The sequence below is a fragment of the Homo sapiens genome, chromosome 4 (genome assembly GCF_000001405.40).
Source record: "Homo sapiens chromosome 4, GRCh38.p14 Primary Assembly".
Taxonomy (NCBI): domain Eukaryota; kingdom Metazoa; phylum Chordata; class Mammalia; order Primates; family Hominidae; genus Homo; species Homo sapiens.
In genome coordinates this window covers 108,560,672-108,586,029 of record NC_000004.12, presented here as the reverse complement: position 1 = coordinate 108,586,029, position 25,358 = coordinate 108,560,672, and the positions used below count along the sequence as shown (strand labels likewise).

General features: G+C 40.6%; 1 long non-coding RNA gene across 1 annotated transcript in view; it reads left to right on the top strand.

The window, feature by feature from the left end:
- The window catches only part of RPL34-DT (RPL34 divergent transcript), an 82,268-nt gene that overhangs the window by 34,428 nt on the left and 22,482 nt on the right, over positions 1–25,358 (top strand). The window lies entirely within an intron of this gene.

Sequence of the window (25,358 nt, the reverse complement as noted above, 5' to 3'; positions counted from 1 at the left end):
TTAATGACATAACTGAGGCTTGAATTTATATTACTTATTTGTTAGTTCAAGCAGGATTATTTTCTGTTACCAAGCTACTTCTGAGACTATAAATAGTTGTGGTAGTTAAGATGGATTTTTTTTTCTCCTTAAAAATGAATTTCAAAAATGAAGAAATATCTCTTTTATCTCTTTCTCCAGGATCTTCAGTACAAGGATAAGCTCTATTAACGTGCTTAGCGTAATAGATGACAGGTTTTCTTGGCTTTATATCTGCCCTTATGCCTCTATTTTCATTAACAACAGCCCCTCTCAAAGTGTTAAAAGTAGTCTCTTAAATTTGCAACAAATATGATTAAAGGATTGAAAAGTAATGCTTATGGAGGAGAACAAGGGATGATCTAGTGGTCTTCAAGGATTCAGAAAGTCATGCGAAGGATAATGTATTCCTCTGCATTTTCAAAAAGAAGAACTTTCAAGTAAATGGTTTCTAATTATAGCTGCAATAAAATCAGATTTTATTTTAAAATATTACTTGTGTCCACCTATACGAATAGAGGAAATTAGGTTTAAGAAAGAACACCACAGGAATGATTTCTCCCATGTTGGAGCGAATGTTGGTATGCACTGATAAAACAGTTCATACATCTTGCCTCAAAAATATTGCACCATGGCCGGGTGCGGTGGCTCACTCCTGTAATCCCAGCACTTTGGGAGGCTGAAGTGGGAGGATCATGAGGTCAGGAGTTCGGGACCAGCCTGACCAACATGGTGAAACCCCGTCTCTACTGAAAATACAAAAATTAGCTGGATGTGGTGGCATGCGCCTATAATCCCAGCTACTCAGGAGGCTGAGGCAGGAAAATCGCTTGAACCCAGGAGGCAGAGGTTGCAGTGAGCCAAGATGGCGCCACTGCACTCCAGCTTGGGCAACAGAGCGAGTATCTATCTAACAAAAAAACAAAACAAAACAAAAAAACAAAAAACTGCACCTCTCCCAATGCCCAGAAGTTGTGATGATGCATGGTTTTTACACTGTGAAAGGGGGAAATTTCAGAACCAAGAAGGCAGGTAAAGGTAGACTCATTTAAAAACTAAATTTAGAGCTGTCCTCTGCAGAAGAATATCTCAATGCCTTGTTGTATAATCCAATGACTTTAGCCCTTTATTTTTAATTTGACAGAGTCATAGGTCATATAACATCAACTCTTATTGCATAGAAGTCCAAAGAGATAAAGTGACTTAAAATTTCTCGAGATCATAAAACTAGCTAATAACCAAACACAGGCTTGAACTCAGACCTCTTGTTTGCTTACTCCAAAACTCTTCTCACTTTACCATGCAGACTATATTAATCATTCCAGTTTCTAAGATAGATGTTATTCCCCTCTGCGGCAGGCAGAACAATGGCCCCCCAAAATGTCTATGCCCTAATCCCTGGAACCTGTGAATATGTTTCATTACATGGCAAAGAGGAATTAGGCTTGCAGATGAATTAAGTTCGCTAATCAGCTGATCTTAAAATAGGGAGACTATCCTGGATATCGGGGTGGGTCCAAAGAAATCACAGGGGTGTCGACGTGTGGGAGAAGGAGGTAGAAGATTTGGCATCAGAGTGATGTAAGAAATCTTGACTGGCCATTGCTGGCTTTGACAATGGCATGGCACTAGCAGCAAAGGAATGTGGGCAGCCTCTAGAAGCCAGAAAGGCAAGAAAATGGATTTTCCCTGAAAGGTCCTGAAAGGAGGTGCCCTGCCAACACCTTGATATTAGCCCAGTGAAACCCAGTTTAGACTTCTAATCTCCAGTACTGGAAGAGAATATATTTGTGTTGTTTAAGCCACTGGATTTATGGTACTGCATGAACCAATATTATGGAAATATGTTACAGCAACAATAAAGAACCAATACACTTTCAAAAAAGTATTTTAAAAAAACACAAGATAACAAAACTCAATAATACGTCCCACTATTTTTTTTCCCTAATAGGCCATTTTTTTAATAGGTTTTTTGGGGAACAGCTGGTATTCAGTTACATGAGTAAATTCTTTAGTGGTGATTTATGAGATTTTGGTGCACCCATCACCTGAGCAGTAAACACTGAACCCAATTTGTAGCCTTATATCCCTTATCTCCCTTCCCACCCTTTCCCCGAAAGTCCCCAAAGTCCATTGCATCATTCTTATACCTTTGCATCCTCAGAGCTTAGCTCCCACTTATGAGTGAGAACATACAATGTTTGATTTTCCATCCCTGAGTTACTTCACTTAGAATAATAGTCTCCCATCCCATCCAGGTTGCCATGAATGCCATTAACTCATTCCTTTTTATGGCTGAGTTGTATTCCATCTTATTTATATACCACATTTTCTTTATCCACTCCTGGATTGATGGGCACCTGATAGGCCATTTTAAGGACTTTACATTATATATGTATGTATGTATGTATGTATGTATGTATGTATGTATTTATTTATATTTTTTGGAGACAGGGTCTGGCTCTGTCACCGAGGCTGGAGTGCAGTGGCATGATCATGACTCACTGCAACTTCCACCTCAGCCTCCCAAGTAGTTGGGACTACAGGCATGCGCCACCATACCTGGCTAATTTTTGTATCTTTGTAGAGATGGGGTGTTTCCATGTTGCCCTAGATGGTCTTGAACTCCTGAGCTCAAACAATCCACCCACCTCAGCCTCCCAGAGTGCTGGGATTAGAGGCATGAGCCACCATGCTTGGCCTATCTACTATTTTTAAAAAGTAGCTATTATTCCTTTGAGGTCTGATCTTTACCAAGTTGTAGCAAATAACAACAAATATCCAAGGAGAAAATCTAGTATGTATCAAGAACTAGTCTAGATGTTAGATATATTAACTCATTTAGCCCTTGTCAGAATGTTATGAGGTGGGCTCTATTATCATCCTAACTTTATGGAGAAGATGACCAAGGCACAGAGAAGTCGTGCAGCTTGCCCAAGCTCACAAAACTGAAAAGTTCCAGAACTGGGATTGAACCCAGACAGTCTGGCTCTAGAGTCTGAACACTGCTATGCTCTTCTGCTTCTCTCAAATGGTAGTGGCCAAATACATAGCATCTTTACCAAGCATAGACAGAGATGATCTTGTCTTTTACCCAGGAGATAAACAAAATTGCTTATGGAAGTATATATTTTTTTCTAATTCACAGATTTTCCTTTGAAATATTTTTAGCTTTTTCCTGTAAGCTTCTCATACTGCTACTTAAACTTTTTTCTCTCCCTAGCACTGAGACTGTTTTCATATGTAAATCACCAACAATTTTATAACCTTGCAGATATTTATTATTCAAGAGCTGATCAACATGTCTGTGGTTTTCCAGCTCAGTTGTCTGTGTACATTTTTGTGTCTTGCCCACTGCAGATCCCATGAACCCATCTATCCGTCTACATGCAGTGAAGGGTAGAGAAGGTGAAAATAAAATCTGCAGACTTAGTTACTTGTTAATAACAGCTCTGACAAAAGAGGAGGTTTGTCTATGGTTGCCTACCATTGATTTTTTTTTCCATTTTATTTTTAAATGAAATGTAAGCTCTTTGTAGTCCTCTGATTTTTATATTTAGACATTTATGTCTCATTTCTAACATACATTTATTAATTTGATTCATTCATGCTAAACCACACTCTCCAATATCACAGATGATCAAGAACTGGCTTTAGTCATTTTGTTTTTTTCAGTTTCTAGACACAGAAAACCAAAACAAATAGTTAAAATCAGTTTGTTCTTCTTCAAGGTTTTCTTCCCGTTTTAAATTTGCTTCCCTTTATGCTATAGCCCAAGAATGGAAATAGATTAGTGGTGGCTGATGGATCAGCAGAGATTGTCCAAAGTATTTTTGAAAAGGATTTTGTGGAAAAATATAGACTCTATGGAAAAGAGTTTGGTGACCTATTCGCTGATGTAGATGTTTATTAGCAGACATAGATGTATGTTTTGGAGGTGAGCTGGGTATTGCAACTGCCACATACTTGCCATCCCTGCTGCAGCAAGTCAAGCACTACCTCACCGTCAATCCCCACTGAGCACCTGTGCGGAGGAACTCGGGTATGGGTGGCACCGTCTGTTTCAACATTACCATTTTTCTGAGTCTTCGGAGTTTTCAAGAACAAATAATGGAAACCATATATAACCACATAGAAGATATTATGTGATTCTCTAAAATATAGCCAAAATGAATTGAATTAGGATTAAATTAAATACAGAGAGTTTTGCGCTTCAAATAATATTTTACCAACTCGAAGAATTGTTAGATAATGCAGAAAGTCGTCGGGAGCTGGTTTAACCTTTATTTTTTAAGATAACAGTAGCTGGTTGAGCTCTTTTTATTTGTACAGCCCTCTGTTAAGTGACTTTAAATAATTTATTTAACCCTCATCCAAACCTGGGAGGTGGGTATTTTTAACTCCCAGTTTGCAGAAGAGAAACTGAGGCCAGTGAGGTTAAGTAACTTTAATTTGGGTTTGTGGAAACACAGGCAGGATGTCAATTGAGGACTCTGCCTGAAATGGGTCTCAGAGGAGTCTCTCAGGAAGGCCTCAGTGGAAGATTGCCTTCGAGAAAGGAAATGGACTCGATAGATGCCTTGTGAATGTCACCTTCAGCCCAGAGAGGAAATTTAACCCATTTTATATTATCCTCATTCGAAAGAGGAAGAGCCACTAAAATAGAAATGTTTGAAGTCACTGAGGGATTAGACAGAGCCAGATCTCTGAAACATCTACCTCCCAGGATTGCGTGAAGATGGAGCAACCGGGCTCTCTCAGTTCCTTTTATCTCTCTTTCTAGGTCAGTCCCTGCAGGGTTTCAATCCTATCAGTTACTCTTCTCAACATCGCCTATCAATTATTTGCTGTTTTGCTCTAGGGTTCTGATATTTAAAAGAAGATACAAGTCAAGCTGTGAGATTTTGCCTGAGTTTTCTGGATACTTGCCTCAATTTTATGCTGAATGTCTGCTTCGGATACCAGCTATACAATGGGTGGATAGCCTTTTGCATTAGAGGTCCTTGTAGGAAATTTGGAAAGCTTGGTAATTAACAAGGGTTCATAAAATCAGACCTCTGCCAGGAACTTAAACTGAATGAAATAGCAATCCAGAGACTATTGGATGTTCTGTTGAGGCATTCTCTGGGTTTAAGTGTTCAAAAATTCATAGCTAAAAAAAAAACAAAAAAAAAAAACAAAAAAAAACACCTCGTAGCTTCAGCTTTAAATTGGTTCATGCAGTACGCATTTGAAAACACTGGTTTGGGTCACACAGGCCAGGAAGAAAAGAACAAAAAAACATTTGGGTTATGTTTAATATGATTCACTCCAGCTTTCAGGATTAAAGTTAAGTTAAAGTTACTGTGTCTGCCATTTTTGATAGACAAGTGAGTGGAAAAGAAAAGCGCTTTCAGAGATTCAGATAATTGGATGGGAAAAACTGAATCTGTGTGCCTTGAAGAGGCACCTGAGACACAGATGATGAAACATGTGACATAGATGGTTACTGATTTCTAAATACCTTTTAGTTAGAATAGTACCATTATTTTATAGACTTTATATTTATTATTCCACCTAAAAACCAAATGATAATATCTCTAGTTATAGGAGCAACTGTGAGATTATATTCTTTGTTGCAAGTCCCTGCTGAGGCTATAGGGATTTTTGTGGCAAGATTGCTATGTGTACACCAAAACCCATTTTCTTTTTTGTTGGTTTGTTTTTGTTTGTTTGTTTGTTTGTTTGTTTGAAACAGGGTCTCGCTCTGTTGCCTAGGCTGGAGTGCAGTGGTGCGATCTCGGCTCACTGCAAGCTCCGCCTCCCGGGTTCACGCCATTCTCCTGCCTCAGCCTCCTGAGTAGCTGGGACTGCAGGCACCCGCCACCACGTCAGGCTAATTTTTTTTTTTTTTTTTTTGTATTTTTAGTAGAGGCGGGGTTTCACTGCGTTAGACAGGATAGTCTCGATCTCCTGACCTCGTGATCCGCCCGCCTCGGCCTCCCAAAGTGCTGGGATTATAGGCGTGAACCACCGCGTCCGGCTAAAACCCATTTTCTTACTCCCTGGGCAGACAGACTACATTTCCCAGCCTCCACTGTACTTAGTTGTGACCATGTAACTGAATTTGGGCCACTGGAATGTGGGTAGAACTGATGTACAATACTTCTGAGCCCAGTTCCCATTCTTCCCCCACACCCCAACAAACCCAAAAGACAAAGCCAAAAGACTTTTGCAGTGTTCTTTCTACACTCTCTGATGTCCATCCCCTGGCTATAGGATCCAAGAGAGGCGTCTGAGACCCCAGTTATTTTGAAGTCACAAGATGGAATGACCACATTGGACATTGTTTCAGAGAGAGAAATAAACTTTTATTGTGTTAAGCCATTTTAGACCTTGGGATTTGTTATAGCAGTTAGCATTACTTACCCTAAATAATAAAAAAATGGTTTTTGCAATCAAGGTAAAAGATAGTGGTGTTATTAGCATGCCTAAATGCATAAAACTCTCTTTTGTACTAGTTCAGTTGGATTTGAATTGCTATAGCATACAATAGCCAAAAAAACTAGCTGGTATCCAGTCAGCTGTTCATTGTGCTATTTTATCATGTTCAACAACTGGTTTGTCTGATATTTAAGTTAAATTAACAGGTATTTAAATTCAAGAGACTATTTGGTAACATAAAATAAATTTTCAAGTGCCTCACTTCTTACTTATGTTAGGCATATGAGAAATTTATTTTTAAATCTCTTTTCTTTTTTATTTTTGAGATGAAGTCTTTCTCTGTCACCCAGGCTGGAGTACAGTGTTGCGATCTCAGCTCACTGCAACCTCTGCTTCCCTGGTTCAAGCCATTCTCCCGCCTCAGCCTCCCGAGTAGCTGGGATTACAGGCGCTCACCACCAAACCTGGCTAATTTTTGTATTTTTAGTAGAGATGGGGTTTCACCATGTTGGCCAGACTGGTCTCAAACTCCTGACCTCAGGTGATCTGCCTGCCTTGGCCTCTCAAAGTGCTGGGATTACAGAGTGAGCCACTGAGTCCAGCATCTATTTTCAACTATAGTAAAATTAATAGAATTTATCTTTTTGAACCTTTAGCTTATGTGAAGGGATTTAAATATTCGAGTTAAAGTAACAATATATAATTTATCTTCAGAGTATCTCAATGATCCTTTCACCAATTTTGTTTATTTATTTATTGAGACGGAGTCTTGCTCCTGTCACCCAGGCTGGAATGCAATGGCCCTATCTCAGCTCACTGCAACCTCCGTCTCCTGAGTTCAAGCAATTCTTCTGCCTCAAACCTCCCAAGTAGCTGGGATTATAGGTGTGTGCCACCATAACTGGCAATTTTTTGTATTTTTAGTAGAGATGAGGTTTCACCGTGTCGGACAGGCTGGTCTTGAACTCCTGACCTCAGGTGATCTGCCCACCTCGTCCTCCCAAAGTGCTGAGATTACAGTCATGAGTCACTGTGCTCGGCCAATTTATGTAGTTAGGTTTTTGTTTTCCAGAGAAATGAGCAAGTGAGTCTAGACTGTTTTGAGGAAAAAATGATAGGGAATATGATGCAAAATAGTAAATTTTAACATTATAATATTCATCATAAGATTATTCTGTGAAAAACAAAGACTTAACAGAATGAGATTTTTTTTCTTTTTTTTTTTTTTGAGACGGAGTCTCTCTCTGTCACCCAGACTGGAGTCACTGGAGTGCAGTGGCATGATATCAGCTCACTTCAACCTCCGCCTCCCAGATTCAAGCGATTCTCCTGCCTCAGTGTCCCAAGTAGCTGGGATTATAGGCACGCACCACCACACCCAGCTAATTTTTGTATTTTTAGTAGAGGTGGGGTTTCTCCATGTTGGCCAGGCTGATCTCGAACTCCTGACCTCAGGTGATCCGCCTGCCTCGGCATCCCAAACTGCTAGGATTACAGGCTTAAGCCACCGCTGCTGGCCCAGAATGAGAATTTTATGAATGAATGTGCTTTCAAATCTTATAATATGAGAAAAATGGAGCTTTAAAAAATAAACCTCATTGGTAGAATTCAGATGACTTTTGGAACACAAACTGAAAGCTACTTATTAAATAAGGGTAATTTGTTCTGGGTCCACACCATAAAATGGCTTCAAACATTTTTAAAATAGGTCATTTGAATACTCTAAAATGTCTGGTGTATGGTAACATTCTTAAGCAAGTTCATATGAGAGTTAGAGAGTATCCCAAAAGCATCCTTGGGATTTCTGACCATATCAAAGCAAATGGAACTACATTATCAAGGAGCTCTAATGAGACAGTTTGTTTAATTGAAATGCTTTAAATTACCATGTAGTACAGCATGAAAAAATCATTATTTTCATTAGCTGAACTATTTCTGTTAGCCCCAAACTAAAGGTTCTAATATTGAAGCATGATAAATGCACTGTAAAGCCAGTAGATCACAAGGAGAAATTTAAATGAAAGAATTCATCTAAAATACCAACATTTTGCCTTAAACATTACACGTAGGTGTCAATATCCTATCACTGACTCTCCCAAGCCAGAGGAAGTATTAACTAGAAATAAGCCCCATCTATACAAATAAAAAACTAATAATTGTGGCATCACCATTTAGTTACTTTGTCTTAATAGGCAACACAGCTCTTCTATCAACACATGGGTATAGTGGGTTGCTTTAGACACAGTCCACTTAAGAGTTTTCCTTTGACTTTTTTTTTTTTTTTTTGAGATGGAGTCTTGCTCTTATCATCCAGGCTGGAGTTCAATGCGCGAGCTTGGCTCACTGCAACCTCTGCCTCCTGGTTCAAGTGATTCTCCTGCCCCAGCCCCCTGAGTAGCTGGGATTACAGGTGCCTGCCACCATGCCTGGCTAATTTTTTGCATTTTTAGTAGAGGTGGGGTTTCACCATGTTGGTCAGGCTGGTCTCAAACTCCTGACCTCAGGTGATCCACCCGCTTTGGACTCCCAAAGTGCTGGGATTACAGGCGTCAGCCACCGCACCTGGCCCCTTTGACGATTTTATTATGGACGATAAATTTGTTTTATTTTGTTTTGTTTTTTTCTTGAGATGAAGTCTAGCTTTGTTGCCCAGGCTGGAGTGCAGTGGTGTAATCTTGGCTCACTGCAACCTCCTCTTCCCAGGCTCAAGCGATTCTCCTGCCTCAGCCTCCCAAGTAGCTGGAATTACAGGCGTGCACCACCACACCTGGCTAATTTTTGTATTTTTATTAGAGACAGGGTTTAGCCATGTTGGCCAGGCTGGTCTTGAACTCCTGACCCCAAGTGATCCACCCTCCTTGGCCTCCCAAAGTGTTGGGATTACAGGTGTGAGCCACCGTACCTGGCCATAAATTTGTTTTGACTTAAGAAGAACCCACCTATAGTAAAGAGGAGAATATTCATATAGCATTTGCCTTGATCACCTTTCTATGGAGAAAAACTGGCTAACAGTGAAATTCCAGAATTAAATCTCCCATTCAGTTAAAATATGATCTATCTCAACAGGAACCACAGAGAGTGCCCCTCACTCATCTGATATCTGATATTCTGTAGCATAAGTTAGATCAAGAAGGCTTCCTGGGAATGGGTAGGATGTGAAAGAAGATGCAGAACAGAGAGGGCCTGAATCTCCTTGGTAGGCAAACCTGATGTCACTTAAGGGTACAGTTTCCATTAATAGTAGATTAGCTCAATCTTAAGAAGAAAAAGAATAAGGTTCAACTTGGATGACTGTGAAGTGATTTAAGATAGTTTTTTTTTTTTTTTCTTTTTGAGACAGAGTCTCACTCCATCGCCCAGGCTGGAGTGCAGTGGCATGATCTTGGCTCACTGCAACCTCCACCTCCCCGGTTCAAGCCATTCTTCTGCCTCAGCCTCTGGAGTAGCTGGGACTACAGATGCACACTACCATGACCGGCTAATTTTTGTATTTTTAGTAGAGATGAGTTTTCACCATGTTGCCCAGGCTGGTCTCGAACTCCTGTTCTCAAGTGATCCGTCTGCCTTGGCCTCCTAAAGTGCTGGGATCACAGGCATGAGCCACCGCACCCAGCCTAAGATGGGTATTTAAAATGTTGACTATTAGCAATAGAAAATACTCTTTGCTTTTTGAATGATAAGGAGGTTTGAATTATTTGCTTTTGTTTTGTGCAAAGAAATAATTATAATGAGAAAATTTCCTTTTTCATGGGTTAGGTATATGGAGGCATATGGAGGCAGTAAATCTTGAAGATTTTTTCTTTTATTTTTCTGTAATTTTTGTGTCATGTAAATTTTGCTGATCTCTTGTGATTCATAATTAAATGGGTTAGATGCCATTCCACTAATAATCATTACCAATAAAGAAGTTCAAGAGTTTCTCCAGTTTCATACAAGGAGTAGCTATGGACAAGGAGAATTGGATCCAGGAACTTTGTTTCATTAGTTTTCTTACACCTCTGACATATTTTGTACTCTCTCTCTCTCTCTCTCTCTCTATATATATATATGTATAAAACATATATATAAATATATAACATATATGTGTATATATGTTATATACATATATATATATATAAAGTGTTCTCTTTTAGGAATCCTGGAAGATTCCTAAAATCCTAAAATCTCTTTTAGGCATCCTGGAAGATTTCATATATATATATATAAAGGGTTCTCTTTTAGGAATCCTGGAAGAACTCCTCCCAGATAAAAAGCATTACTGTATTAATAGATGATGTAAACTTTTTTTCTGAGGTGTCATAAAGTAGAAAGTTGAATATTCCAGCTTTTTTTTTTTTTTTTTAAAAAGGGAAACTTGAATGCTTTGATCATTAGTCCCTTGAGTCTCATTCTTGTTTGGAGTTTTATTTTCCCATTCCTGATCCAGTCTGATGTTCTTTGTCTGCAATTCAATCTCTATTGCTTTAATCATTTTGGATTGTACCAATGCCTTCTCAGTAATAAAAGAAATGGGGAGCCAGGCTTGGCATGGGACAAGTCTCTTCAGCTGCAGTAAGACATTACGTATGAGTTGTCTACCCACAAAAGGGCCCACTGTCAGGTTAAATTAATGAGCTGCATGTTTTAATCATTAAGGTAATAGCAATATGTGGATTATTTGCCTAAGTTTTAATCATTTCTGTTTTCACCAACTAGGTCATCAAACGCTTTCTTTTAAGAAATCTTTCTATTTCATAGCAGAGAATAGCTTCTATGTGGGACAGAAATAAATGCTTCAGAGTCCTAAAACACTAAACAGCTCCAGGGTTTGGTAAAATTTAGTTATGCCTTTGTCCGTCAACACAGGAATTTGGAGGGACTGGCCGTGGTCACCATTAGCAAATGGAACCAGCATGAGTTCCAATTTGCAAAGAGTTGAAGTAGAATAGGGGAATTTTAGGTCTCAGCAGCTGAGGTGGAAATGAATTATTTTGTGGACCATGGGCAGCACTGAGACCGGGTGAGTTGAAAGAGATACTGCTGACTATGCCTGCAGGGGATCTGATGGCTTTGCTTCCACTGGAAATTGCTTTGTACAGACTTTCAACTCACAGTCTGGTATCTGCATGGCAAATGTTGGCAAGAGGACTTGCTGTTCTCAGGAAAGTCCACAGTAAGTAGATCAAGACACAACTTCTACAGCTGATTTTTCTAATAAAGCCATGCTTCCGAAAAGGAGGGATGAGTTTTAGCACCATTTTCATTTCTTCTTAGATATTTAGGCTATACCCAAGTGAAACCTAGAGCATAGGGTCAAAAAGAGAAAAATCCAACTTATTACTTATATCGTTGGGGTAATGCCAAGCACACGACTCAATTGATTTTTGATCGAATTTGCTAAATTAAAACAATCATTTTATGAACTCTGTGATAGTACTGTCCAATGTGTTACCACAGCATTTGTTCGTAACTCAAACATAGCTCTTCCTATACGTGTTATAGTGAATTACACCATTTAGCTATGTGCTTCCAGAGGTCAGGGACAGTAACATATTCATCTGTGTGTCCTCACGTCTTTATACAGAGTTGATGATCATAGAACATAATTGACAGTGTAGGAATCAATGGAGAGTTTCTGCTTTCCTTTCTGGAAACTGTGGTGTGGTGGGAAACCAAAGGATATAGGGGGTGGGTTTAGAAATATAGAATTACAGATGAGAAGGGCTCTCAGAGATCACATAATTCAACACTTTCATTTTACGGATGAAGAAAGTGAGGTCCAGAGAGTTTAATGACTTTTCAAGGTCAATTAGTTGGTGGCAGAGCCAGAATGGAGGTGACACTGGAACTAGCATTTACCAGAAGCTGCTATAGACTGGGCATTGTGCTTAACCTGTGCTGTCTGATTCATCCATTCTTCTGTCCTTTTTTTTTTTTTCTTGAGACGGTGTCTTGCTCTGTCACCCAGGCTGGAGTGCAGTGGCGCCATCTCGGCTCACTGCAACCTCCACCTTCTGAGTTCAAGCGATTCTCCTGTCTCAGCCTCCCAAGTAGCTGGGATTACAGGTGCCCACCACCACACCTGGCTAATTTTTGTATTTTTAGTAGACATGGGCTTTCACCTTTTGGCCCAGGCTGGTCTCAAACTCCTTGACTTCAAGTGATCCGCCTGCCTCGGCCTCCCAAAGTACTGGGATTACAAGAGTGAGCCACCGCGCCCAGCCTCTTCTATTCTTTTTTACTGATTTATCCATTTTCCATGTGTTTGGAAAAGGACTAACATTATTTATTTTGAAACTAAATCATTTGGAAAAAATATTAAAGTACATATTGTATTTAAATATTTGCTTCGTCCTTGTTTCTAGTATAGATCTAATATTTTGTCCAGGTGAGAAAAATAAAAGACAATCTGGCAGCTCTGTGTGGAGTGTATTTCCCATACAGGCAGCCTAAGGATGATTCTTGCTGAGAGTTGAGACAAAGATATTTTACCATAATTTTGCTCTGAGTTCTAACATTGGCCAGATACAGTTGCCTAAAAATGTGGCAAAAAAAGTTTAGGTCCCAGCTACTCGGGAGGCTGAGGCAGGAGAATCAATTGAACCTGGGAGGTGGAGGTTGCAGTGAACCGAGATCGCGCCACTGCACTCCAGCCTGGCGATAGAGCGAGACTCCGTCTCAACACACACACACACACGCACACACACACACACACACACACACACACAAAATTTAGACACACGAACCCATGTTTTTGATGAAAGAGGAGTCAGATTTTCCCAAAGACTGAATTCACCGTGAATCTGTTTGAAGAAGAACCCACCTCATAGATTTCCTAGCTGTAGAAGGTGTTGGTATAATTTTACCGCAATTGAGTTTATTGTCAATAGAGGGCGCCAAAGGATGGAAAAGTAATTACTGATGACTGGTTTGTTTCTCCAACTCAATTCGCCAGTACATATTTTTTTGAAAATAAACCTTTGAAAAGTCATCTTTCCATCTTTTTTTTTGTTTGTTTGTTTTGAGACGGAGTCTCCCTCTGTCACTCAGGTTGGAGTGCAGTGGCGTGATCTTGGCTCACCGAAACCTCCACCACCTGGGTGCAAGCGATTCTCCTGCCTCAGCTTCCTGAGTAGCTGGGATTACAGGCACCCGCCACCACACCCAGCTAATTTTTGTATTTTTAGTAGAGATGGGGTTTCACCATGTTGCCCAGGCTGGTCTTGAACTCCTGACCTCAAGTGATCTGCCCGCCTCAGCCATCCACAGTGTTGGGATTACAGGCATGAGCTACTGTGCCTGGCCGTCTTTCCATCTTGAAAAGGGAGAATCAGTACCTCTGTCCACATGTGTACTGTCATTTCTGCCCATCCAGGCAAAGCCAAGCTGAACAGAGCACAGCCTGAAGCTGGGCTTTTGTATATGGGTAGTCTCTGAAGTTGAGAAGAAGTTTCTACTCCTGCTTTTTTTTTTTTTTTTTTTAAACCAGAAGATCCAACAGCTTTACGTGCACCAGTCCTTTAATTGTTAGCAATTCACATTCCAATTCCTGCCATATGGCAGGCACATTGTTAGTTTCTGGGGAAACCAGGTACTAAAACAGAACCACCTGCATGCAGCCTACAGTATAGTGGGCAACAGAGACATTAATGAAACAGTCACACAGGCATACCATCAAAAATTATCTTGACAAAGTGGTGTTTGAGTTGAAATCTGAAAACTGAATAGGTGCTAACTAGGCAAAGTAGGGAGGGTGGAGGAAAAATACTCCAGCCACAGAGAACAACAGGGTCCACACGTCTGAGCCAGGAGGGAACATGGGCACTCCAGGAGTAGAAAGCCAGAGTGACTAGAGCCTGGGAAATGAGAGTGAGTGGCTGAGGCTGGACGGGGGGCAGAGTCATATCATACAGGGACTTAAGGCAGTGGCATGGAGTTTGGATTTTGTTGTCTGTGCCAGGCAAAGTTCTTGATAAGTGGTGATATGGATAGATTTATTTTTTAAAAAAGATTTCTCTAGCTATTTTGTGGAGAATGGATTAGAAGAGGGCATGATCATGAGGAGGCTACTGCCACAGTTCAGATGGGAGAGTGGCAGAATGTGGTGGCTTGGACCACCATGGTGATCATGAAAATGAAGAGACATGAATAAAGAGGGAGATAAAATTGGCTGAACTTTATTGTGGATCAAACATGGTGGTGAGGGAGGGGGTGGATGACCTCTAGGTTTCTGACTTGCAAAGTGCACATAGGTTAGAGTTTTCAAACTTGGAAAATACAGCTGGTGGTGTTTAGGAAGTGTTGTCATTACTGATGTGAGGTGGAAATCAGGAACGTAAACACTCGACAGTAGCTCATTGGGCAACCCGAGTTCTGGCTGTTGGTCTTTGCACCAAATCTCTAAACTTCTGTCATTCAGTGGACATTTCAAGCAGAGCTAGGAATGAGCAACAGCATTGTAATGTGATATTTAAATACGTAGCCTATACCAGCATGTACATATGTATATACATAGAAAAATTCTGGAATATAATTAAACCATTAACTGTCATGTTTGAGAAGTGAGAGGGAGTTCCAATTTGAAGTCCAGATGTTACTGTGTTGTTTGAAAAAAATTAAAGTAAGGCTTAATTGGTCTTCTAATTAGCAAAACTCATAAAATCCTGTCATTTGCAATAAAAAGCTTTTCAGTTGAGAAATTCGAAGCCCTTGTGGAGCCCCAATAATCTCTCACCTCCATTAAATTTCTCTACAGGAATTTAGAGAATCTTTCTATTTTGGGACCTTCTAGCCCCAGACAGCATAGATTTTTCTCACTGCAGCTCATTAGAGATGCTCAGAAAATCAACTTGAGGACAAGCTACAGAAGCCCTCCTGGTACCCTTTGATCTTTTGAGTAGCAAATGTGTCATTTGTAGCATGATGGTCCAGTTCTTATGTGAGGCTAAAACAGAGCCATTTCAAGATGCTCCTGAGACTCCCTGAACTCCTACTAACTACTAGACTTTCTGCCAATTGATGTATCAGTTCTGCCATCTCCCCCGGGACATCATTTCCACTTGCTTGGTAAATAATTAGCCCGGCTGCCTTTGGCTATAGCAAGGATTATAAATATTTTAAACACTGCAAGTGATTGAAACTGTTTCTATTTGATTTTGTCTATTCCTCTGATGCTTTGGGTAAAAACTTAACTCTAAGTAGGAAACATCTTTGGGAAGAACAATGTTCTAGGTACGAGAGGATGAGGTGTTGTATAGGCTGCTAAGGTCATCGGGCATTCAGAAACATGCTATAAGCCAGTAGTTTGAACCTGTCCAGTTTTAGCTCATACTAACCAATTTTTCTCACGTGAGAGAGATAAAAGACCCCATGTCCTAAGAACATTTCTATGCTTATAGGAGTTTTTAAAAAATAGACCCTATTTTTTTTTTTTGAGACAGAGTCTTGGTCTGTTGCCCAGGCTGTAGTGCAGTGGCGCGATCTTGGCTCACTGCAACCTGTGCCTCCTGGGTTCAAGCGATTCTCCTGCCTCAGCCTCCCAAGTAGCAGCCTCTCCTGCACCACCATGCCCGGCTAAGTTTTTATATTTTTAGTAGAGACAGGGTTTCATCGTGTTGGCCAGGCTGGTCTCAAACTCCTGACTTGTGCCCACCTCGGCCTCCCAAAGTGCTGGGATTACAGGTGTGAGCCACCACACCTAGCCACAGAGGGTTTTTAGAGCAGTTTTAGGTTCACAGCAAAACAGAATGGAAAGTTCTTACATGCCCTCTGCCCCCACACATGCATAGCTTCCCCCAACATCCTGCACTATAGAAGTACATTTGTTACCATCAGTGAACCTACATTGACATATCGGTATCACCCAAAGTTCATAATTTCCATTAACTTTCACTCTTGGTGTTGTACATTCTATGGGTTTTGAAATGTATAACGACATGCATCCATCATTGTAGTATCACACAGAATAGTTTTATTGTCTTAAAAATTCTCCATGCTCCTCCTATTCATCTCTCTCCCTCTACCCACTGAAAACCACTGTTATTTTTACTGTCTTCATAGTTTTGCCTTTTCCAGAATGTCATATAGTTGGAATCCTTATAGAAATTTAAAAATAATTCCTCTTACAGTAAGTTATAAAACATAAAAGTTCCCATTTATATAATCAATTCTAATCTTTACAGTGAATTCTTTGTGATTACTATGGAAACCCGATGTCTTAACTAAACCATGTCTGTATCTTACTAGAGGCTCATGGACAACCTGGTGAGAGCCACTGACCCATGCAAGGCAGGCAGGGAAGTTGGGGCGGAGAAGATACTGGTATGTTGGATAGGGGATCTATCCAGAGATCTGCAGAGTATTTGTTCTCAGCTCTTTCAATGTGACTTGTGATGGAAATAGTAACATGTGCCTATTGATCCAAAAAGTAACATACTACAGTGGTGTACAAAGTAAATACTGTCCATGCTTTTATGCCCCAGAAATGACCTCTGTTAACAGTTAATGTATATCCTTCTGTACTACAGGTGGGTTCATACTACACTTATTATTTTGCAACATGCTGATTTTATGGAAGAGTGTATCATGGTCCGCTTTCCATGTCAATTCCTGAAAATCTCATCTTTTTAAAGATATATAAAAATTTATTTAATCCTCTGTGGAGGTAACTTGGATTATTTTCAAATATTTGCTGTGAAACACCAGCAATAAAGATTCTCATGCCTCTTTGTACATTTGATTATTTCCTTAAGATAAATTCCTAGAAGTGAAATTTTTGGATCAAAAGATAAGCATGTTTAAAAGTTTTTTTTATTTGTTGTGTTTAATATTTTTATACATGTTGCCAAATTATACTCTTACCAAAAGCATATGGGAATACACTTTTCTACATCCAAGTCAAGAGAAAGATTAGTCTTTCATCTTTGCCAATTTGTTCGGTAAAAAATGGTTTTAGTTTTAACTTTTTTATTCAGATATTAATGACGTTTAATTTTTATTTCAGTGCTGCGTTATATAAGTATACTTAGATTGTTGTGAGCTATGTATTTGTGATATGCATACTTTATTGGGATAAGTATTATATATTGGCCTTTGCACAGGGGTGGGGGGGATTTCTTTCTTTTTTGAGACAGGTTTTCACTATGCCACTTAGGCTGGAGTGCAGTGGTATGATCCTAGCTCACTGCAGCCTCAACCTCCTAGGCTCAAGCAATCCTCCCACCTCAGCCTCCTGAGTAGCTGGGACCACAGGCATGTACCACCATGCCTGGTTAGTTTTTAAATTTTTAGTGGAAAAAGACTCTCCCTATGTTACCCAGGCTGGTTCTGAACTCCTGGGCTCAAGAAATCTTCCTGCTTCAGCCTCCCAAAGTGCTGGGATTACAGGTGTGAGCCACTGCACCCAGCCAAGGTTTCTTGCATATCTGTTAGGCTGCTTAGGGTTGCAAATAACAGAAAAGCCCAAATCAAATATGTATAGATATATTTGTATTCTCTCATATAGCATGAATTCTCTAACTAGGGTGTACAGGGTTGATGAATTCTGCAGATCAGTACATCCTCAGTCATTCTCAGTGCTTTGGCTTAGCTCCCCTCATGCATGCCAGATGGCTGCAGTAACTCCATGTCTCACATGGAAATGCTGCAATATCCAGTGGGAGGAGAGACCATTTCTTTCTACCTATCTTTATCCCATATCTGAGGAAAAGTTTTTCTCAGATACTTCCCTCCTCTTCCTAAGGCTTGCTCTCACATCTAATTGGCCAAAATTCTATCAGGTGTCCATACTTCCACTAGTCAATGGCAAGAGGAATGAGAACACCATGACTGATCCAAACGGATAAAGATTCTCCCTCTGCAGCTGCAGCAAGGCCCACCTTCCCTGCAGTCCATGGCTGGGGGGAGGAAATCAGCAGTGTTTGCTGGAGTTGGAGTATGGATAGGAAAGCAATGGGAGATCAGATGGGAGAGGCAGAGGGGAGAGGATTGGGACAGACCTGGGTTGCCAGTTCAGATGGACTTGAAGGGAGATAGCACAGACTGAGAGAGCTGTTAGTAAGCCACTTTATGGTCTACAGAAGATAGTGAAACTCAGTATTCATCGAGGCCCCTCTCAGTGTCAGATAATGTGCTTGGTGCTTGTGGATACAGTGAGGATGAAAGCAGACTTTATTGACATTACAACCAGCATCTTAACTCAATGACATTAGGACTCCATTGCATTGAGAGGCATAAAAATGATATTAATAGCAGCTAATAGTCTGGGCGCAGTGGCTCACGTCTGTAATCTCAGCATTTTGGGAGGCTGGGGCCGGTGGATCACGAGGTCAGGAGTTCAAGACCAACCTGGCCAACATGGTGAAACCCCGTCTCTTCTAAAAATACAAAAATTAGCTGGGCATGGTGGCGCATGCCTGTAATCCCAGCTACTTGGGAGGCTGAGGTAGGAGAATTGCTTGAACCTGGGAGGCGGAGGTTGCAGTGAGCCGAGACCCTGCCAATGCACTCCAGCCTGGGCAACAGAGCGAGACTCCGTCTCGGGAAAAAAAATGTCTAATAGTTACTGAGAGTTTCCTACAGCTGGGTATTGTTTTAAGTACTTTAATGAATTAACTCATTTGGTGCTCACAGTAACTTTAGGAACTAGGCATTATCACTCCTATTTTAAAGGACAGACTGAATCAGAGAGGTGAAGTATAATCAATTACCCTAGGTCAAAGGGCCAATAAATAGGGGAGACAGGAATTGAGCCCAGGCAGTGGGACTTTTGAATTCATGTTCCTAAGTGATCTACTGTGTTGCCCAGGAAACCCACACATCAGCAGCTAGAATGTTAGTAATATGAACGGTGGACTCAGTACAAAACGGTGGAAGCAGTACAAATATAAAAGGGGGTAGCTGTGATTATATTCCTATCTGACAATTACTGAGTGCTTACCATCTGACAGCAATTGTGTTAAATGCTATTTATGTATAATCTAACTTAATTCTCACAAGTCTGTAAAATAAGTACCCTATTCCACCTGTGAGGAAACTGTGGCTTAGAGATGTTAAGTCATTTACCAAAGGTCAAAATTGTATTTGAATCTGGGTCTTTAAGACTCCAAAGCCTATGGAATTGGTTAATTCCACTATATTAGCATGAAAGTTATTTTCCAAACAGAAGACAAGGAATTCTGAAAAAGAGCACTAAAGGACATAAAGGTGTCCTTATGTTCCTTTTTTATTGAAGAACTTCAGGACAAATTTTAAATGTTCTGTTGCACTCTGGCTGGTCTGAGCTGGCCTTCACATCGGCCATGGTACACTGATCAGACATGATATATATTTTTTTTGAGATGAAGTCTCACTCTGTTGCCCAGTCTGGAGTGCAGTGTTATAATCTCAGCTCACTGCAACCTCTGCTTCCCGGATTCAAGTGATTCTAGTGCCTCAGCCTCCCGAGTAGCTAGGATTACAGGCGCCCACCACCACACTTGGCTAATTTTTGTATTTTTAGTAGAGATGGGGTTTCACCATGTTGGCCAGGCTGGTCTCTAACTCCTGACCTCAGGTGATCTGCCTGCCTCGGCCTCCCAAAGTATTGGGATTACAGGCATGAGCCACTGCATCCGGCCAGATACGATACTTCAGGATAACTCAAATTATTTTTTTCCCAAGAAGCTAAACCTAGAATTCAGAAACCCTTTTCCAAACATTTTTCCATTAAAAAAGTTTTGTATGTTAACATTTTATCATGCATTTATAGTCTTTCTGCAATACATTTGTGTATATAATAGGCATCTTGTATTTACTAATTTTTTTAGATGAATGCAAATCAATTTTAATTTGTATAACCCACCAGCCATTCCATTGCTGACTATACTCACAAACGAAAAGCTCCACCTCACTCCACCCCCATTCAACTGTGGTCTCCTTGTGGAGGGAGGCTTGCTGTCCTGCCTAGTTAGGGAGCACAATTACCTCGAGCAAGCCTGTCCAACCCATAGCCCATGGCCCACACGTGGCCCAGGATGGCTTCGAATGCCACCCAACAGAAATTTGCAAACTTTCCTAAAACATCAAGAGTTTTTTTATTTTTATTTTTATTTTTTTAAGCTCACCAGCTATCATTAGTATTAGTGTGTTTTATGTGTGGCCCAAGACAATCTTCTTCTTCCAGTGTGGCCTAGGGAAGCTAAAAGATTGGCTACCCATGACCTAGACAGTTTTTTTCTTTTCTTTTTCGGTTTCCAGGGAGATTCCCTCAAGCCCTCGTCTAGATGTTAATGTGGCACGTGTGGCATTGGAGTCTTAGCTTTTCAAGTCTTCTTTTCTTTACTAGAATGACTGGGTGGAGCAAAGGAAATTCTTACAAGGTATTATGGTTTCTCTTCTAAGCTGAGTTGAATCCAGACATCATCAGTGACCAAAGTCACTGCCATCTGTCAGTTGTGGGAGCCCCAAACAAGAGGTCTTCCTCTGCTCCCAGTGAACAGGTAACTTGCATCTCAAAAACCAACACATCCCACCTGGAACTTATTGGCAGACTCAAAAGAGAATCCAAAAATGAAATCAGTCACAGAGATAGAACACACTGCTTTTTCTTGGAGCTGGTGTCTCCTAGGTTCAGGCTTGTGGCATATGGGTTGAACAATTCAATAAAGTTTTCCAATGGTATAGGCCAACTGAACATACTTTTCTAAAGCACAATATTCTTCCAAAAATGGAAAGAAAAAATAAAGCCCAAACCAAACACACCCAAATCAGCTCACTTCTTTGGTGTGCCATGTAAAACATTAATAAAATTGCCTGCTGTGAAGATATTTGAATTTAAATCGTTGTCAGGTCTAAGTAGGGTTAGCTGCTTGAGAGATAATCAGCATTCTAACAAAGTACAAACATTATATACAAAGCACTAACACTATAATTAGTAAACACAGGTGCAACAACTTCTTGCTTCCTCTTCCTTAGATATATAGAGATTACCCGGGGAATAAGAATGACAGGATGGAAAAAAAATAGAAAACATGTAAGGAAATAACTTTATAAATAGTCAGAATACAGCTAGTTTTGCATCAAAATGACAAAAATAAATGCACATCTCTTTAAATATTATTTTATTTTGCAATATTTTATATACACGTAAGTATACAGGTATATAAAGTTTTAATAATCACTTGTTAGGCTTTACATAGCATTGCCTTTCATATGCACTTCAAACAACAATATACAATTCATTTCAAATATAAACCATGAGTTCCATTATAATAATATTAAAGAAAGAGTGAACAATTTAGGTGGGTCAGGGACATGGGAAGACTATATTTGAAGAGTAGTCTGATGTATTCCTGGGGAGGTTGAACAGGTAGAGATTTTAGAGGGAATATTTGTCCTCCACTCAACCAGGGCCTTATATACATACATTTTTCTCTGGAGCTTTGAGCATCAAATGAAAGGAGTGTAAGTAGGAGAAAATTCATGAGCTCTGACGTCAGACAGCCCTGGATTTAACTCCCGGCTCTGCTACTTACTAGCTGTATGAGTTTAGGCAAGTTACTTAAACTCGTTCAACTTCAGTTTCCTCATCTATAAAATGAGAGTTGTTAACACCTTCCTGGAAAGCTATTGTCAGGATCAAATAAGATAATGGTATTAAAGCACATAGGGCATAAGGAATGCTTCACCATTGGGCGCGGTGGCTTATGCCTGTAATCCCAGCACTTTGGGAGGCCGAGGTGGGTGGATCACTTGAGGTCAGGAGTTTGAGACCAGCCTGGCTAACATGGTGAAACCCTATCTCTACTAAAAATACAAAAAAAAAAAAAAAAAACCAGCTAGGTGAGATGGCACACACCTGTAATTCTAATTACTTGGGAGGCTGAGGCAGGAGAATCACTTGAACCAGGGAGGCGGAGGTTTCAGTGAGCTGAGATCACGCCATTGCACTCCAGCCTGGGCTACAGAGTGACACTTCATCTCAAAACACAAACAAACAAACAAACAAGCAAACAACAAAAAGGAATGCTTCACCAATGCTGTTTCATTTCCTCTCGCTTGTCTGTAGGTGTAGGAATCGGTGTCATTCAGGTTACCAAACAGGTTTCTCAGTCAGAGACAAGACAGCTTTAGCAGACTGGAATCCAATCTTTTCTATCTTGCTCTCTTTTTCCTCTCTTTTCTCTTCCTTTTTGTTTTTCATTGTAATAACAGTATGATTACATGGCCCTAATGGAAGATCTGATTCACTTCCAATGTTCCTTTTCCCTAACCCAAGAGTAAAACCTACAGTATTCACTTCTGGTAAAGAAACATTTTCTTAACTGTGTTTTTTTTTTTTTTTTTTTTTTTTTTTTGAGACAGAGTTTTGCTCTGTCGCCCAAGCTGGAGTGCAGTGGTGTGATCTTGGCTCACTGCAACCTCCGCCTCCCGAGTTCAAGCGATTCTCCTGCCTCAGCCTCCCGAGTAGCTGGGATTGCAGGCACCCACCACCACGCCCAGCTAATTTTTGTATTTTCAGTAGAGACAGGGTTTCACCATCTTGTCCAGGCTGGTCTGGAACTCCTGACCTCGTGATCCACTCACCTTGGCCTCCCAAAGTGCGGGGATTACAGGCGTGAGCCACCGCGTCTGGCCATTTTCTTAATTGTTAAGGGAAATTTATAATTCAGCCACACAAAGCTTAATTTTTCTTTTTTTAATTATTATTATTTTTATTATACTTTAAGTTCTAGGGTACATGTGCAGAACGTGCAGGTTTGTTACATATGTATACATGTGCCATGTTGGTGTGCTGCACCCATTAACTCATCATTTACATTAGGTATATCTCCTAATGCTATTCCTCCTGCCTCCCCCCACCCCACAACAGGCCCTGGTGTGTGATGTTCCCCTTCCTGTGTCCACAAAGCTTAATTTTTCTACCTCAGTGTGAGCATATGAAGGATAAAAGAACACTAAGGATGCTTGCTTTGAGGTTACTTAGGGTCAGTTAGATATTGTGCTTTTCTGTTTCTAAGTCTATATCCTCATCTATCCCAAAGTGATTGAGATTCATATAACAATTCTGTTGGTGTGGATTGGGATAATTCACTTCTACCTCATTGCTTCAATGTTGTGCCATTATGGGCTCCTGAGTGTACATGACTTTGTCAATGTCTGGATGAGTCTACTTGTTTTATACCTTTTATAGTGCCAGCTACACATTGGGGCATCCAGGAAGCAGTCAGTAAATTCTGAATGAGCAAATGATGAATGAATACTTTTAGAACAGTATTTCTTCAGTTTTTGAAACTTATGCTTTTTTTTTTTGTTTTGTTTTTTTTGAGAGAGAGTCTTGCTCTGAGGCCCAGGGTGGAATGCAGTGGCATGATCTTGGCTCACTGCAACCTCTGCTTCCCAGGTTCAAGCAATTCTCCTGCCTCAGCCTCCCCAGTAGCTGGGATTACAGGCATGCACCACCATGCCCACCTAACTTTTGTATTTTTAGTAGAAATGGGATTTCAGGCCGGGTGAGGTGGCTCACGCCTTTAATCCTAGCACTTTGGGAGGCCAAGGTGGGCAGATTGGCTGAGCTCAGGAGTTCAAGACCAGCCTGGACAACATGGGAAAACTTTGTCTCTACCAAAAATGCAAAAATTAGCCTATTGTGGTGGCACACACCTGTAATTCCAGCTACTGGGGAGGCTGAGGCAGGAGGATCGCTTGAACTCAGGAGGCAGAGGTCACGGTGAGCCGAGATCATGCCACTGCACTCCAGCCGGGGCAACAGAGCAAGACTCTGTCTCCAAAACAATAAATAAATAAAATAAAAGGAAAAAAGAAACAGGGTTTCACCATGTTGGCCAGGCTGGTCTCAAACTCCTGACCTCAAGTGATCCACCTGCCTCAGCCTCCCAAAATGCTGGGATTCCAGGCATGAGCCAACACGCCTGGCTGAAAATTATGCTATCTTTTGATCAACAGCTCCCACACCCCAAATGTGATACTCTTCTACAGGGTCGCCTTCCAGTGATGATGAATTGTATTCTCCACCAGTTAAAACTTTCTAGTCTCTCCCACCCTAATTACACACTAAAAAAATACTACTGGACATGCTCTCTCCCACCCAAGGTTCTGCTATTTACCCCATTTCCAAGAGTATCTGCACCATTTTAGATCAGAGGCCCCAGAAAGGCAGGGACATTCCTATTTAAACATCTGCCATGCATAGACATATTAGGTACCAAATAAGTGCTTTTGATAATGACACAAATTGACAGCTTTGGGAAAGCTGTAGTGCCCTACCATCACCGATTACATTCAGTCATTCAAAACTGGATTTAAATCCAGACCTCCCACGTAGAGTCCCCATAGCCTAGTCTGAGATGGAATGCATGGCATTCTTCAACCTCTCTTCCTTAAATATCTGTCCAGATTATGCCCTTTCATGTGTTTTTGAAGTAAAAAAGAAAATCGTATCCTCTCCTAAAACTTTTCCTGACTCAGGCATTTAATATTATTCATGAAGACTAATGGCTGCAGTTTAATTATTTTAATGTTTCCAGCTCAAACTATAGAAGTCTAGGAACCAAATGTTTGGCCCATCGTAGCTAAAAGCCTGCCTATACTTTTCATGTGCACGACTGTAAAATGAAAAACAAGGAAAGTGGCTTGTAATTGTATAGCAACCAAACACATGGTTTTTCCCTTTCCTTTGGGATGAAAATGCCTTCCTGTAGAAACTAAGGTTATGCCCCTACTTCTGAAGCCCAAGGAGGGACACTTTGATGTGAAAGAGGATCCTGGCCAAGTAACGGATGCAGAAGCCAGTGTGGGAATAGGAGGAGCCTCCAGAAACAGGAAAAGGCATTGTCCCAGGGAGGGGTTATTTCATCCCACTCTGTCGTCATTCGGGCTGTCTGGTTTATTTCCTCCCCCAGATTGGTGTGAGTTGGAAGGACAGTCCTTTGTTAATGAGG